A 17246-nucleotide genomic window follows, 5' to 3' on the forward strand; every position below is an offset into this window, starting at 1 on the left:
AAACTAAGTGGTAATGTACAATCAGTGCCTGAAACACAATCAGCAGTCAACAAATTCTATTTATATCTATAATTATTATTATATTAATGCCATTGCATTTTTCTCATTCAAGCTTGAAGACATTTCTTTTATCCTTCCCACTCACATAAAATCAATTATAAATTTCTATTGACTCTGTCTTGAAGATCTTCCTCAAAATGGTCCTCTCTTTTCCATTTCTACTGCTGCTTTCCTAATTTCATCTTTCCTTGCCAAATGATTTGGGTAAACAGCTAATTGTTGCCCAAAGTGTTGAGTAACCAGATAATTCTTCCCGAAACATGCTCTTCTGTTCCTATCTGTGAAAGAAAGAAACAACTTACCTCAGTGTATCCCTAATGTCCATCAAATAAAACACAAATGTTTCTGTTAAAAGTCTTTCCAGTTGGGCGCGGTGGCTCACTCCTTTAATCCCAGCACTTTGGGAGGCCAAGGCAGGTGGATCACGAGGTCAGGAGTTTGAGACCAGTCTGGCCAATACAGTGAAACCCCACCTCTACTAAAAAAAAAAAAAAAAAAAAAAAAAAAATTGCCAGGCCTGGTGGCGGGTGCCTGTAGTCCCAGCTACTTGGGAGGCTGAGGCAGGAGAATCACTTGAACCCAGAGGGTGGAGGTTGCAGTGAGCTGAGATCGCTCGACTGCACTCCAGCCTGAGTCACAGAGTGAGACTCTGTTTCAAAAAAAAAAGTCTTCCCAATCACACCTAATAACATTTCCATTGTGCCTGAAGAGATAGCCTGTACTTCCGTCAAGTTCATTAACCTAGCCCTCCAGATCCAGTTCATCCTTTAGATCCACCGCGAAGCCTTCTATTCACTCGAACTGGTTACTCCCTTCTCTCATCTCTTATAGGATGTCTAAGGGCTTGTTATCACTTCTATAGCATTTATTATGTATTGAAATATATCTGGGCAACACTCTAGAGTAATGGTTAAAAGCATAGCTATCGGGGTAAGACAGTTGCAATGATTAAATTAACAAAACACCTTGAATATAATACTTAATTATAGTATGGAGTCAATAAATATTACCTATTTTTAGTATCATTGTGTATACACATCTTATTTCCCTACTAAAATGTTCCTAGATGACAATGATCTTCTGGAATTGATGGTACCTTTTCCAGTACTTTGCCTAGAAAGATTTTATTAGGTTTGCAATTAGAATTAATTACTCACAAACTGATTTCTTATAGACTCTAGGTTGACTTCTTTTCATGCTTTAAAATGTGGTAACTTCGTCTCTGTAAGGGATATGCTAACTCTCAATCACTGTGATTGATATGTGATTTGAGTATATAGTTTTGTGCTCAACTTTTGATTAGTGTTAATTTTTAAAAAAACAGTTTAAAAATCAGGATATGTATGTGAATAAAACAATTGTTATTAAGTAATATAACATCATAATTACAATTAATACTCTGTATTGCATGCCCTCATACCAATAAGTGCCAAGTAGCTTGCTAAAAACTGCTTTGAAATGCTTGCATCAGTGCTCCTTATCTTGCCAAACTTGTTTTGCGTAATGATTGGTGAGAAGAATAACATTTTATTTGAGGATCTCGAAGCACCTGGCAAGGCTGCTTTCCATTTTGCAGATTGGTTACACTGCGCTTGCAGATTGGTTACACTGCGCTTTGCATTTCCTTTGCTATACTGCCATCCAGGAAGAGGGCTGGCTACACAATAGAATATTTTATATTACAAAATATTCTGGACATTTCCTAAGTAATTGGCCTGCTATTTTATCTTATATTCATTGTGACTGTGTACACAGTCAGATTTTTCCCTCTCACTTTGCCCAATGAAAAGATTGGAAGCAAATTTGTGTCTGTCTGGAGCTATGATACTGGACCTTAGTTATGACTTTTGTTGGCTTTTTTCTTGATCCCATTGTATTTATTTTTTATTTTTTCCTACCCATTTTCAATTGGAGTTGTCTTGTTGGAATATGTACCCTTTTAAGCACCTCAAGTTTCCTTTCAAACTGGACAGGCAATAGACACATAACTAATTTTTAACACTATTCACACATTTCTGTTAGACTGAAGCAGATTGTGCAGTGGAAATACTAGGCCTTTGGAGGGAGTCACACTTGGGTTTAAATTCCAGCTTTGACACTTAATAACTGTGGACCTTGGACAAATTATTTAACCTTTCTGAGTTCCCTCTCTGTAAAATGGAAATAATAATCCATAACTCACAAAGATGTCTTGGGGATTAAATAAAATAACTCATGCAAATTACTTGGTGCATAGTAGGCATTCAATAAATGTCAGTTCACTTCTCTTCCCAGTTAATAATGCTTATTAGACTATATTAAAAACTAGAACTAGACTGTGATAATGCATTTCTTTATTAGGTATTTAAGCCAAATAACTAATTTCCCCCGGGGGAAGAGAGAGAAATGTTGAATTAGTTTCATTTGGTGAACTTATTTATTAATCTTTCTTTTTCTTGAGCATTTTTCAGTTTCATAGTCCATAATTTAGTTTTCATGCAGCAAAAATGACACAGTTTGGTATTCTTTTCACCTTTACTGTGCTAGAATTGTTTTTTTAAATGTATCTATTATTACATCTGCCACTTATTAGAGATCTTTATTAATTATATTAACAGCTCGATTGTGTTTCATAACTACGTCGTGCTGACAAACTTGTGCTCTCAGCAGTTTCCCTGAGGTCTAAGCATTTAAAAGAATCAAGTTTTAAATGACAATGCCACAGCAAAAGAAAAGCAGGGGTGGGCGGGAAGACGCACACCGTCTGTGTTCTTTCGTGTTAATTTTATATGTTTGCATTTAAGTGGAGCCACATTTTCCTCAAGGACGCAACCTAAGTAAGGCGAGCAGGGAAAGTGGAAACTAAGTGAGCTGGAACTACAGTACCATTGCACCTTTAAGGACTGGAGACTTGCTATTAGCTCGGCCTCCTTCCCGGCCCACCTCTGAACTCTGATTGACAGGGCGCCGGGCGAGGAGGAGCTGAAGGAGGCTGGAGAGGAGGCGCCGTGAGGAAAGTAGGGGAGGAGGGGGCCGGTCCTTTATCTGGTGGCCAATCAGGGAAGCGGGGAGGAGCTCCAGGCGCCCTCCTCCCTCCTCCTCTCCCCAGCCTCCCGGCTTCCCCGCCCCCTCCCCTTCCCTTTGCCCCCTCCCCTCTCCTCCTTCTCGTCCTCCTCCTCCTTCTTCTCCTCCTCCTCCTCCTCCTCTCAGGCTGTGGTTTTTCTGTATATGTTTCTGGAGTCCTGAGCCTGAGCTAAACAAAAGCAGGAGGCTGACGGGGCTGCTGGAGTTTGCAGAGACACGGAGGAGGAGAGAGCCTGTGCTTTGCCTGCCGCCGCGGCTGGGGGAGATCTGGCTTTTGCAACAGCCCACCCCCTTTGAGATCACTCTGGCCCGGAGTGGGGGTGGGGGGCAGCGGGGGGTGGGGGGGGAAAGTTTGCATTGCAATCCCCCTGCCTTCCTCTCCTTTCTCCCGATCAATGCATATTTGCAAAAGGATTAAGCCACAGATTTAAGCGCCGGGAGCCCATTTCTGCCTTGCAAAGGAGACCGGACTGAAAAACCTAAAGCCAGCTCTGATTTCTTTTCGCCAAGTGGGAAGGTGGTTTATTTTTCTTGCTTTTTGGAGTCAACACCCTTCCCCACCAGCCCTTATCCCCACCCTCACCCCGCAACCCCTTCACGCCCCCTCCCCCTCCCCCTCCTCATCCTCCCACCATCCTCTAAAGAGGCAAAGGGATTTTTTTTTTCTTTTGGTCTTCTTTTTTCCCCCTTCCCTGTTTATCCTGAAAAGGATTTGAAGACAAGCTTGAAGGATAAAAAGCCTTGGTGCTTCCCAGGAGCCGAGCCGAGGAGCAGAAGAGGAAGAGCCGGGGGCTGCCGTAGCCTTTGGAGATGGACGAGCAGCCCAGGCTGATGCATTCCCATGCTGGGGTCGGGATGGCCGGACACCCCGGCCTGTCCCAGCACTTGCAGGATGGGGCCGGAGGGACCGAGGGGGAGGGCGGGAGGAAGCAGGACATTGGAGACATTTTACAGCAAATTATGACCATCACAGACCAGAGTTTGGATGAGGCGCAGGCCAGGTGAGATGGAGGCTTTTCTTTTCCTTTCTTGGGGTTTTTTGTTTTTCTTCCTCTTGCAGGGGGAAACAATGGGAACCGAATCACCACAGCGCTTTTTTTGAAAAATGTTATTTCTTTTCTCATTTTGACAAGCAACTACATGGCGGAGGAGTAAAATTTGAAGGAGCGTTGTTATCGAAAGTGTAATCGCCCATGCCGAGATGTGGCTGTGTACATATTTGTGTGTGTGTGTGTGAATATAGGGGTATTCATTTATATCCACACAAACACACAGGCATGCCGAAAATACTGCCAACTGATCCAAAAGCGGCCCTCGGCACTTTTTACTGCTTTAAAAAAGTATCAGAGAAAGCAGAATTGTCAAGTTTTGAACAGCATTCCATGCCTTCTTGTTGAGGGGACTCTGTAACATTACGAAATAAAATGTCCCAAGAACACTTTATTTGCAAATTTAGTTGACTCCTTACCTAATTCAGCGAGTTTGATTTTCTTTCTTGACTCTCCCGTCCAAAATTAATTTTTATCTTTTCTCCTTTCTTCCCCCCCTACCCAAAATACAAAACAACAAAAAAGCAGGGTATTTCTTTGTCAGTACTTGTCAGCTATCCAGAAAATATTTTGCATTCACTTAATTTTGTTTTTTTAAAAAGTTGATGAAAAGGTGATTTTGTTTTTAGGCATATTTGTTAGTTTTAAGAGACTCAGATTTTTAGTTTAACTTTATTGTCTCCTAATTTCAGCCGGTTTACTAACCTTCCGTGACACAGACAGCTATGTAGGGTCCTTTAAAAAGGGGTGGGGGGACAAAAATCAAGCATGCTCTTTTCCCCCATGCTTCTTTCAGGACCACTTAGAAATGAAAGCATTTATGAATTTTATATATTTCAGTACTATAGGACATGAAGGTCTTCATTAAGGAAACATAATAAACTGTGTAGCCTCTCAAGTTAATCCACTGCCAGGTATATGGTTCTCTACTTCAGGATTTTACAGTAAATTCTCTTTTAAAGTAAAACATAGACTAAGTGACAACCCGCTAACAGCTTGCCCAAGGCCGAACTCAAAAGGAAGAATTTTAAAAATCTAATGACCACATATGTCTGTACAATTACCCAGCTTTGTTATATCTCCGAAGTAGCGTTTTTCTCTTTGAAAACCCTGTAAACAAATATACGCAACTCCTATACTTCAGATGACTTGGTTATATGGAGAAGACATCATTATGTGTATTTCTGTCTACGTGAAATAAGAATCTGAGTTGAGAAAATGAGAGGAAGCAGTTAAAAACATAGATGTTATGAATTATACTCAATTTTAGCTGCAAGCACATGCAACATGTAAACTCAAAAGTACTAAGGTTTACGGGTGTTTGAAAACTTGGAAATGTTGAAAGACTCAAAGTATCCTAAGTTTTGTTTAAATAGGGGAAATTTTAAAAATTAATTGGTGCTCTCTTTGAATTTTATTATCTGAAGAAAAGCTAATAGGTATGGTAAGAGGAAGATTTCCCACTGGCAATTCTCTTTTGAATTGGAACATTTTTCTCTATTATATTGTTCTAGAAGAATACTCTCAGACATACCAATAAACTGGCTTAAAAATAAGTTTGTGAAGTGGAAGGGGCTAGTAAGAATAGATACTACTTTTTTGATGTTCAGTCTCTCTTCTTTTGTGAAACTGTGGACAAACAGGGCTTGGCGACTTCCCCCTTTCAATGGCCTAGATGCAGAGAGAGATCAGATACAATTTTGGGATGGGGAAATTTTCAGTTCTTCCTCTGTAGCTGGCTCCATTTGTGTGCTGTGGAAATACAATATTTTTATAAAGCTGTGTGAGAATTTTTGTTTGCATTTGGGCCTATATATAATAATAGAATTAATTAAAACTATTTTAAAAGACCCAGGAAAGGTCTTTAATACTTTAAAGTATTTTCCATCTTTTTTTTTTTCTACCCCACATGAGAACTTACTAAAATCAACGCTAAGCTTTCTTTTTGGATAAACAATGTAACTCCACTTAGTAGATAGTATGTCCTTTTTTCCTTTTTCTAGTCACACCTTTATAATGTGTATTTATTATTTACAAAAGTAAACCATTAATATTTTAGATATAATGTATGTGTTCATTTTGATAGTCCTGAATTTTGACTTTATTACTCCCCTGCTGTACAGTACATAGGGCATGTTTCTGATCTCTGTTCTTCATGAGGATGTGTCTATTTTTTAACTTTCAAAGGGATTAAAAAAGAATTGCATGTGTTTTGAGTGCCAGAACTTTCCATTTATCTTTACACATTAATTTTAGTTAGTAGACAGAATTCACTTAACTAATAGCTGATATGATCAGTATTTTGTTTCCAAAACAGTATCATTCTGCTAAGTGGTTCCATAATAAAATAGAAGGAAAGGTATTGTTTTGTTCCTCAAGTGCATTCAGAATACACACACACACACACACACACACACACACACACACACACACCAGGTAAATCACTAATCTAAAAGACAAAATTGCATTTATTTTTCCCCCAATGGGTGCAAGGTCCTAATTGTAAATAATTGAATTTCAACACCTGCAAATAAGCAGTGTGTGCACAGAAGCATAATGTGAACACAGAGAAATGAATTTATTCCCCATATGGGTATGTTTGCCCCCTGGCAATGCATTTCCATACTCTTTAACTTGGGGACTGAAATGTTATAAATTGACAGTTCTACTCAGAAGACCTTTCAAGCATCTTGTGTTTATGAGAATACAGGGGCATCTGCGGAATGAATTCGAACACATGGATGAATTAAATTTGAAAACACACAGACCGAGAGGCAGACAGTTCCTAGGCTGTGGTCGTTGCATGGATTTTACAAAACTGTTAACCTACACCTTTGGCTTTGCTGTGTTCATTGTCCTGGGAAGAATTGTGGGTTTAAGAATTACTCTTTGATTAAACTACTTAAAAAAAAAAAAAAACCCTTTCCCTAAATGGGCATAATTTAGGTTAGTTCTGTTCTGTAGTTAAATCCCTACCCTCTCCCTGCTAATTAACATTATTTCTTTTTCTATGGCGGGACTCTGTATATTAAGTCATGAAAACAACTGAAGCATGCCACAGAGTTAGGGTTGGGTATATAATTTTGTCTAAATGTTCAAATGTTTTCACCCTGTGCATTATCGGCAGTTTGATCTTGAGAGTCCACCTAAGCTATCATGTTGTTTCTTTCTTGCAGAAAACATGCTTTAAACTGCCACAGAATGAAGCCTGCCTTGTTTAATGTGTTGTGTGAAATCAAAGAAAAAACAGGTAGGAATGAGATTCCAACATTTTAGCATTTTCTTTGGCCAATTAAATCACTTAACCAGCAGTCACAAATCTATTATTTAAATATTAAAATTTCAGAATACAAGTACTATGAAGGTTGACCTCATATTCGAATAGGAAGTCCTAGCCCTGCTTTCCTTAAAAAAAAGAATCAAGTTTCTTTGACAGTTATTATCAAGCACTACTGGTTAATTTTCCAGAACTCTATTTCCAGCCTTTTTGAGATTGGGGCTAAAATATAGATTCTGAAAGGAAATTTATAGACTGATGTATCTTTGGGGCAAAAATATGAAAGTAAAAGTTCATTTTTTTAAGGAATATATTTTGGCCCATTTTTAAAACCCTAATTTTTTTGGAGTTGGGTGTGGGGGTGCTAAACTGTTGAAAGTTTCCTTTCCTTTTTTTCTTGTAATTACACAAAGCAGCAGACTAGAGGTTCTCAACAGAGAGTGTTGTCAAATACCTTTGTGGAATGCGCTATACAACATTAGGTTATCGGTATTTGAGTGGCCTGTGATTTTATTGCAGGGAGAATCGTTGGGTTTAGGAGAGTATAACGCCATGAGATAATTCACTCTGTTGTTTTTCTACTTTCTAGACCTCGTTTCGTGGACTAACACACTTATAACACATCCCAGGAGGGCATTTAAATTTTAAAGCAACAATTAAAAAATAGCAGTCATCAATCAGAGGTGTTCTTAAACAACAGATGCTCTGGGAAGGACATTTAGCGACATCCCCTTGTTTATTTTAATCCTTAATTTTCCAAAGTGGGTAAAGCTCTCCCTTGTAAGAAGAAAGATTTGAGAAGGCAATCTGAAACCAGGGAATAAAGATGAGGGACAAGGGGTGGTTATATAAAGCGGGAGCTTCTGCTGGGCTCTGACTTACCCGCTCGCTTTAGAGCAGTGCAAAGTACCTGACATCCTATTTATTTATTTATTTTTTACAACAAGGAGTGTAACAGTCAATAATTCATATCTAAACCATATAAGCAAGGGCATGACATGAATGAAAGTGACAATAAATATGATTGCATGCTTGGTTGATATACATTGATAGTTACACATAAAAAATGGGCGGGGGGAGAGGGCACACAGGGTGGCTTTCTTTTTGAGAGCTCTCTGTGTTTTTCTTTTAAAAAAATAGTTTCAAGATGTGACTGTTGAATGAATATGTAATTACTTGGGTCTTGAAATGCGTGTAAAATTAGTACGCAGCTCCTTTGTTGAATGTTATTTGTGTTGTGCATAACATTCTAGACAAAGCACCTGAGAAGTGATGTTCAGACCTCTAAGTCTTCCAGGTTGCCTTGCCAAAGCTTAACCTTATTGCAAACCTGTTAATTGCATTATTTTAGCTGTGAGACAACTTTTAAAAGATTTATGGACTGTGCATTCAAATATCAAAAGAGTTTTTTCCAGTTTGTCACACTTTTTAGTTTCTTTTTTCTATTAGCCCAGAGTAGGAAACTTAAGTGTGTGTGTATATATATATTTATATATATTTTTTTATCTTCTCTCTTTTTTCTTCTTTGATCTCTGATGCTTATTTACTTTGAGTGTTTGGTTTGTTGAGATTTGTTTCTAACCAAGTATGAGTTCCTGCTGATCTTGTTTCATGAAATGTAGAATCAAAATATAAAAGCATATGTGATAATATGGACTAAAGAGAGTCTATTTTTGAAGATACTTTATCAGATTTTTATTGAAAGGAAGCCTGTCAGGGCACTTAAATGTACATTGTGGCCAAAGTGCTTAATTCTAGTTTCCTAATTAAAACCTACTGAGGCAGTAGATTAAAGTGGGTGGGTGTGAATAGAGATCCGGTTCAGGTGAGGGTTAAAGAGTTCGCTCCTTGTTCATGTTGGCTCAAGTATAATGATAGGAAGTAAAGTAGTCAGTCGTATTGGTCAAAGTAACATTCTAAAAGTTTTGTATTTTAAATTTTGTGTCAATACATTTAATGTTTAGAGACTTAAAAAAATCTAAATTAAGGTTTTTTGTGTTGTCTCTAGAATAACATATTTAAAAAAACAATTTACAAATAATGTAATTGAAAGTGATAAGAGTCATTGCCCCCTGTGTTAAGGGACACACACACACACACACACACACACACACAAGTCTTGGATTAAGAGGGCACCCCTGGGTGAAAGTAGGGGAAAAAAAAGGCTTACCTCCCTCTTAGTCTTCAACTTGTGTGTTGGAAGGATTGAAGGGAAGGCAAAAACCTCTCCTGGAATGTTGAGTGTTGTGTTAAAGGTAGGAGTCAACTGTGGTCTGCTGAAAAGAACCCTTTGATTCTAAAGCACGATTACTTGGCTACTCAAGACCCTGGAACCTTCAATCTTTTTGCCAGCATATCTTTCATGCAGTTGATGGGTCGGAGGAACAAAGTGTCTGTAAAGTTGCAGGAGCTTTTTTTTTTTTTTCCCCCTCTTCTTCTTGATACAGAGCTGGTGAAAACATCGCTTGAGTGATCAGTTCACATACATTCCTTTATTGTTTGGGGACTTTTTCTATTGTTACTTTCAAGCCTTTTTGCATTAAATGAGTATTTTTGAGTTTCCATCTCAAGCATTATAATGCTTATAATAATAATAGAGGTTACTTGATTTAGGGTGGGCTTTGTTTGTTTGTATTCTAACACGAAGTTCATACATTTGGCTCACCTAGGCAGAACTCTTGAGAGGAACTTGGTAATTGCATTGATTTGTTATTTTTGCTTTTTTGCATTTGTTAATGATTTTATAGTTGGAAGACTTAGAAATAGATACAAAAACTGGCTAAGATGTATTACCAACCTTTTGGAACTTTAAAAATACATACACACATGCACGTAACACCCCAAAGTAGAAGGTGCCATCTGAATTACAATTGATTGATGGGTGTTTAAGTCAGAAATTACTGTGGGGATATTTAAAAAACAAAACAAAACAAAAGAACCCATGCATCTTCTTGCTTCAGAATGTGGGTAGTTTTTATTCTGATACATTTTCGCTTTTAAAAAAATAAATGCTAAGAAGAAGTGCCAGCAAAATGCTCGGGTGGCAATTCTCAAAGAGCAGCTAAAAAACCCTGTCAAGACCTATAGCAATGTATATTTCACATGTGGCTTTTATCTGCTCGCTCATTCTAGGAATACAGAGACAATTAGAGTTTTGGATCATTTAATATAACACTTTCTTTTGGATTTTTAAGATCCATTCCTTGTCTTCTGGCATATTAGTAATAGGCTAAGTTTTGCATATGTGTATATATGGTGGTAATGGGGTTGGTGGGATAGAAGAAAAGGAGAAAAAGTCAAGCATATTACATTTCTTTAAAAAAACCTTGAATATATTTTTAAACATTTCCTGATGTTTTTTATTCCTGTGTCAAAATCACGCAAGTTTAAAAATTAGGAAAACACGAAAAATATTGAATGCCATTTACTAAGGAGAATATTTATAGATAGCAATGAATAGCTGCAATTGTTGTGAATAGTTTTTAATTTTAGAACATAATAGCTATATATGGCACTTTTCAGCCAATTTTCCTCTGTGCATTGTCTGCATCAAAGTTAACGCAAATCAAATCTTTGGAGGAGGTTAAAAAAATTTATTTTTTGCTCCTTAACACCCTTTTGTTCTCTCTCTTTCCTTTTCTCTCTGTGTTCAATTAACACCCCCATCACAGAACTGTAGTGTGTGTGTGTTTTTTTAATTCTACTACTTTATTTCACTTTTGACACCCTCCCTTATTATTCTCGCCTGCCACTTCTTTTTAATATAGCAATTACATTATGGGACTTCTCCTCTCCTCTCCCCTTTAAAGCATTAGAGAATAATTTGTGTGTCTATGTATATGTGTGTGTGTATGTTTGCATATGTAGGTGGAGGGGCGGTGGGTTATGGAAGGAAGCTAGAGATTGCGGGAAGAGAATTCTGATGGTATTAGGCCTTGAGCAAAATAGGAGTAAAATAACTTTAAACCATTTAGAAGCAGCCTCTGATCAGATTCCTTTTGGGGTTGAAGTGGTAGGAGTCATTTTTGTAGAAGGTCATCGATAGCCAGCAAATGCAAAAACTTTTCTTGCTGATGAGAAAATTCAAGAATTTGGTTCATTTTTTTTTTTTCTCCCTCCTGGTAAAGATGCAGAGGAAAGAAAAGGGGATCAAATGAAAGGAACTTACAAATCAGTTTTACCTGATGCTATCTTTCAGGTACAGTGTGTTAAGGCAGAAGTAATGTGGTTAGACCCTATATTATTTATTTATTATAATGTGGATATAAGCCGTAGACCTACAACAATATAACTCTGACAGACATAATATAAGAAGAACTTGTAATGAGAAATGACTTTTCTTTTTAGTCACTTTTGTGTATTCCATTTTTAGTCTACTACTAGAATTAGAACAATTCTGGCTTTTGAGAAGTGCAAAGAGCAATTTGGTCAAAGCTGCCAGAATGAGAATTTGGGAAATTTTGGTGTCATTTTTTTCTAACAATAGGAGTGTCTGTGAGGATTGGACATGAGAGCGATTTAGGTTATACTGAAGGATCTGGAAGGGGATTTATAAGCGGGGAAACATAGAACCTTGTGAACTAAGAGCTGTGGGGCATTGAGCTGGGCCGGGTGTGGGTGGGTTCTGTACAGTAGGCTGCACTGTTGGCTGAGAAGGGGGCATTACCTGCCTGTGTGTTTAGTTCACTGCTGGTGCCAGACCTATTCACATGGTTTTGCCCCTGCATTCTGTTGACATCCATGAACTTTTTGTTGTGGTTGTTGGCAAAATTATAAAAATACCCCCAAACGAGCAAATAAACCAAAACCTAGATGTTGCACATAATTTAAATTGGAAGACATTTTCATTTGTAAAGCATGACCCTGACTTCTTTTGTGTCATAGGCATATCTTAGGAAAGCTTATTCTTCAATTTGGTTTCAAATCTCTTTTAGATGGATGATACTATGTTTGAACTTGGTGAAGCGAATCTAAATATTCTTTTTATTGCTTTTCCTTTAAAAAAAAAGTTTACCAAAGCACCACATGATAGAGACAGTGTCCTAGGTCCAGCTCCAAACAGCTCTTATTCATTCTCTTATGACCCTAAGAAGCACCCATTCATTTTCATTGCCATATTAACCTGATTTGGAGGAATATAATAATTTTGGTTCCATTGCCCTTTACCTGCAATGGTGTGGTAAGATTTAAGGAATGCAATAATTGATAAATAAGTAGAGAATTCATGAGTTGTTTGTGAAGTGCTTTGAGTTCCTGTGGGTTATGTAAATAATTAAGGCACTGTATTTTCTATAATAAATTATCTCAGGATTCATATCTTATTTCACAGGATATCACTGCATTTCACTCTTTCAGGCTAAAAAAAATGTACGTCTACTGGTCTTTAAGTAATGGGGTAATCGATCGTCGCTCATGAGGAAAGTTCTCTGGTTGTATCTTTGCCCCATCTGCATCTCAAAGATGGCACTTCTCGGAACTTAGCAGAGTGATCCCCAGAGGGGAAAAAAGGTGCAGGAATAGATTGTCATAAGATTATAACACCTATCCCCCATGATGGCAGAATAAGGTCAATAGTGTCTTACCCGAAGGTCTTCTTACCTCTAACAGCTCTCTTTCAATCTCTCAATTATTGGTGGAAATTGAGATTGCAATGGGTGGAAAATTCATCCTTTTTGGTTTAGGTTGTAGTTTCAACTGCATCTTCTACTGAAACTTTTGTCATTAAGTAGGTATTGGGGTGGGTATACCTCACACTCTGTGCTAGTTCTGGACCTTCTACTAAGTAGTTATAAGACCATAGAAAAGTTGCTTAAATAATTTTATGATAAACTATAATAGTAGTGGTTAAGGACCTGGTCTTTAAAGCCAGACTCTCTGAGTTTGTATCCTAGATCTTTTACTTCTTAACTGTCTGGCCTTATTCAAGTTAAAAAACCTCTCTGTGCCTCATTTTCCTTATTTATAAAATGCAGATCATAATGGTACTTATCTTAGAGGGTCGCTGTGAGGTTAAATAAGGTGATAGATGTAAATTACAGTGCCTGGCATAGAGTAAACAGTCAATAGCTGCTAGCTGTTATTATTTCTGGACTTGTTTTCTTATATGAAATAGAGAGGCTTATACCAGATGGTCCCTAAAGACAAAGCCAATTCCAAGACTCTGATTTTATGCTGAAAAGAGACAAAAATTGCTGAATTTAAGATTTGCTTTCTTTTTTTCCTTGCATTTTTTTTTTTTTTTTTTTTTTTTTTGTCAAGAGTCTCACTCTATCTCCCAGGTTGGAGTGCAGTGGCGTGATCTCGGCCCACTGAAACCTCTATCCCTGGGTTCAAGCGATTCTCCTGCCTCAGCCTCCTGAGTAGCTGGGATTCCAGGCATTCACCAGCTAAATTTTGTGTTTTACTAGAGACGAGGTTTCGCCCTGTTGGCCAGGCTGGTCTCAAACTCCTGATCTCAAGTGATCCGCCTGCCTCGGCCTCCCAGTGCTGGTTTACAGCCGTAAGCCACCATGCCTGGCCCTGTTTCCCTTGCTATTCTCTTAAAGTGAGAATTAGCTATATCTGGCCAAAAGTCTGGGACAGATTGGAAGAAGAGGGGGAAAAGAGAATGGGTAAGAACAGAGGAAAAGTTTTTAAGCTACTTTAAAAACTTTTAAACTACAAACTGGACAACAACCGCTTGAAAAGCTAGAATTGCATATTAAGGATGGTGTTTTCTTAGCGTCAGCAACTGGAGGCATTGTGTAATCATAGTTAAAAACATTTCATTTTCTCTCTGAAGATACATAAGCCTATCCATTCAACTTGCAAAGTTCCAAAGCAGGAAAAGTAGCACAAGTGAGTTTAGGGCAACCTGACCTTTTCTTTTTCTTTCTTTTTTTAAATTATACTTTAAGTTCTGGAACACGTGTGTGGAACGTGCAGGTTTGTTACATAGGTATACACATGCCATGGTGGTTTGCTCTACCCATCAACCCGTCATCTACATTAGGTGTTTCTCTTAATGCTCTCCGTCCCCTTGTCCCCCACCCCCTGACAGGCCCCAGTGTGTGATGTTCCCCTCCCTGTGTCCATGTGCTCTCATTGTCCAACTCCCATTTATGAGTGAGAACATGCGGTGTTTGATTTTCTGTTCCTGTGTTAATTTGCCGAGAGTGATGGTTTCCAGCTTCATCCATGTCCCTGCAAAGAACATGAACTCATCCTTTTTATGGCTCCATAGTATTCCATGGTGTATATGTGCCACATTTTCTTTATGCAGTCTATCATTGATGGGCATTTTGGTTGGTTCCAAGTCTTTGCTATTGTGAATAGTGCTGCAATAAACATATGTGTGCATGTGTCTTTATAGTAGAATGATTTATAATCCTTTGTGTATATACGCAGTGATGGGATTGCTGGGTCAAATGGTATTTCTGGTTCTAGATTCTTGAGGAATTGCCACACTGTCTTCCACAATGGTTGAATAATTTGCACTGTCACCAACAGTGTAAAAGAATTCCTATTTCTCCATATCCTCTCCAGCATCTGTTGTTTCCTGACTTTTTAAGGATCGCCATTCTAACTGGTGAGAGATGCTATCTCATTGTGGTTTTGATTTGCATTTCTCTAATGACCAGTGATGATGAGCTTTTTTTCATATATGTTTGTTGGCCACATAAATGTCTTCTTTTGAGAAGTGTCTGTTCATATCCTTCACCCACTGTTTGATAGAAGACAACCTGACCTTTTCTTGCCCTTCTAGTACATTCCTTATTTAGGAAAAATGTTATCTTTGTCATAAGGACAGCCTTGATTCATAGTAGATTTATTCTTCATTATTTTTATAGCTTTCTTGAAATATATTTCTAACACCATGAAATTCACCCATTTAAATGATATACAGTTAGGTGGCTTTTAGTGTATTGACAAAGTTGTGAACCCATTATCACAATCTAATTTTAGAACATTTTTATCAGCCTCCTTGCCCCCTAAAAAAACCCAGTACTTTTTACCAATCAGTCCATATTTCCCCCTTCACCTAGTCCCTGGTAACCACTAACCTACTTGCTGTCTTTGTGGTTTTTGCCTATTCTGGACATTTCACATAAATTGAATCATAAAATATTTGATGTTTTTTGACTCATTTCTTCTGTTTAGCACGTTTTCGAGGGTCATCCATACTGTAGCATCTATCAGTACTTCATTTTTCTTTATGGCCAAATACTATTCCGCTGTATGGATATACCACATTTTGCTTATTCATTATTCAGTTGCTACAGTAACTTAAGGAATGGACTTCAGTTACTGTTCACTTAGGTTATTTCCATTTTTGACTATTATGAATAATACTGCTATGAACATTTGCTTACAGGTTTTTATGTATGAATATATGTTTTCATTTCTCTGGATAAGGAGTGGAGTTGCTGGCTCGTGATAACTCTATGTTTAGATTTTGAGAAAATGCCAAACGGTTTTACAGAGTGGCTGCAGTAGGCACATTTTTTAAAAACAGCTTTATTGAGGTCTATTTGATATACAAAAATCTGTACATTGTATATATATATATATATATATATATATATATATATATATATATGCTTTTTTTTTTTTTTTTAAGATGGTGTGTCCCAGGCAGGAGTGCAGTAGTGCGATCTTGGCTCACCACAATCTCTGCTTCCCAGGTTCAAGCGATTCTCCTGCCTCAGCCTCCTGAGTAGCTGGGATTACAGGCATGGGCTACCACACCCAGCTGATTTTTGTATTGTTAGTAGAGATGGGATTTCACCATGTTGACCAGGCTGGTCTCGAACTCCTGACCTCAAGTGATCCACCGGCCTTGGTCTCCCAAAGTGCTGGAGTTACAGGTGTGAGGCACCGCGCCCAGCCTGAGCTACCACGCCCAGCCTGGTGTATTCTTAAGTCATAGTGTAAATGGCACTAAGTTTTGTCTTCAGCACTCTCAGCTTTTCATTCTTTTCAATCTCTTTCTCCATTCAATGATGTCTCCTCTCTATGTTTAGGACTCTACTGTGTTTATTGTCATGTTTGGTCAATACACTAAGAAAAAAAGTTTTTGATAAATTTATTTGACTTGAAGTATGCATGATCAGGATTTATGTGAAATCTCTGTTAGAACTATTTGCATTTTAAAGAGGAAAAAAAGTAAGACAAAGGAATGATTCTCCAATGTTGGAATTTCAGATGTCAGGTTCCTGGAGAGGAAGGCACTTTTGAAAAAGATTGGAGAATTTTCTGAATAGTAATCTAGTGTGACAGAGGGAGCATGGACTTTGAGTGAAACCATCCTAGCTTGTGTTAACATTAGTGAGCTATTGGATTTAACAGAGCTTCAGTGTTCTCATTTCTGTGGTGAAGATAATAATATGTATGATGTAGGATGGTGGGCTAAAAAAGACACTGATGTAAAGCACATAGTTCAATGAGTATGCTCAACTAGTGGCCACTACTGTTATTTTTCTGAAACCACATGACAGAGTGTTGACCACCTTTCTCATCAGTTTGGCCTTGTCGGTTCAGGTTGAGTTTTCTACTACCTCTGTCCGGGAGTTTTAGAGGTTCACTAACATGCTTCCTGACCCTGCTTTTATGTTAAATGGTTGTCAGTGTGAGAGAAATAAAAGTCTCGGGCAAAACGCAGCAAAAGGCATCTCCACACTTTCACACCCCCCTCCCCTACTTCTAGAGTTCTGTGGAGAGAATCTCACAGAACAGTGCTTTTCAGTGAACACCTGTAATTTTAAATTTAATGATTTACATTTTCTAGTAGCCTCATTTTTAAAAAGTAAGAAGAAGCA

At 38.0% G+C, this 17246-nt stretch overlaps 1 protein-coding gene across 12 annotated transcripts in view, besides 1 other annotated feature; it reads left to right on the forward strand.

Annotated features, from left to right (window-relative positions):
- Positions 2877 to 3376: an enhancer, noted in NCBI's record as "NANOG-H3K27ac hESC enhancer chr1:164528003-164528502 (GRCh37/hg19 assembly coordinates)". NCBI's record gives its function as "activates a minimal SCP1, AML or CMV promoter by ChIP-STARR-seq in primed H9 embryonic stem cells {active_cell/tissue: H9 hESC(primed)}" and the evidence as "EXISTENCE:reporter gene assay evidence [ECO:0000049][PMID:30033119]".
- The window catches only part of PBX1 (PBX homeobox 1), a 326864-nt gene continuing 312912 nt past the window's right edge, over positions 3295 to 17246 (forward strand). For 7 of the 12 annotated variants that reach the window (XM_011509590.3, XM_011509592.3, XM_017001395.3 and 4 more), the window contains exons 1-2: positions 3295 to 4124; positions 7349 to 7422. In XM_011509590.3, coding sequence (XP_011507892.1) covers positions 3934 to 4124; positions 7349 to 7422 — 265 coding nt within the window. In that variant the 5' untranslated portion in view covers positions 3295 to 3933. The remainder of the gene's footprint in view (positions 4125 to 7348; positions 7423 to 17246) is intronic. The other 5 variants (XM_047421784.1, XM_047421783.1, XM_005245229.4 and 2 more) reach the window with 2 other exon arrangements.

This window comes from Homo sapiens, chromosome 1 (genome assembly GCF_000001405.40).
Source record: "Homo sapiens chromosome 1, GRCh38.p14 Primary Assembly".
In the NCBI taxonomy this organism is placed as follows: domain Eukaryota; kingdom Metazoa; phylum Chordata; class Mammalia; order Primates; family Hominidae; genus Homo; species Homo sapiens.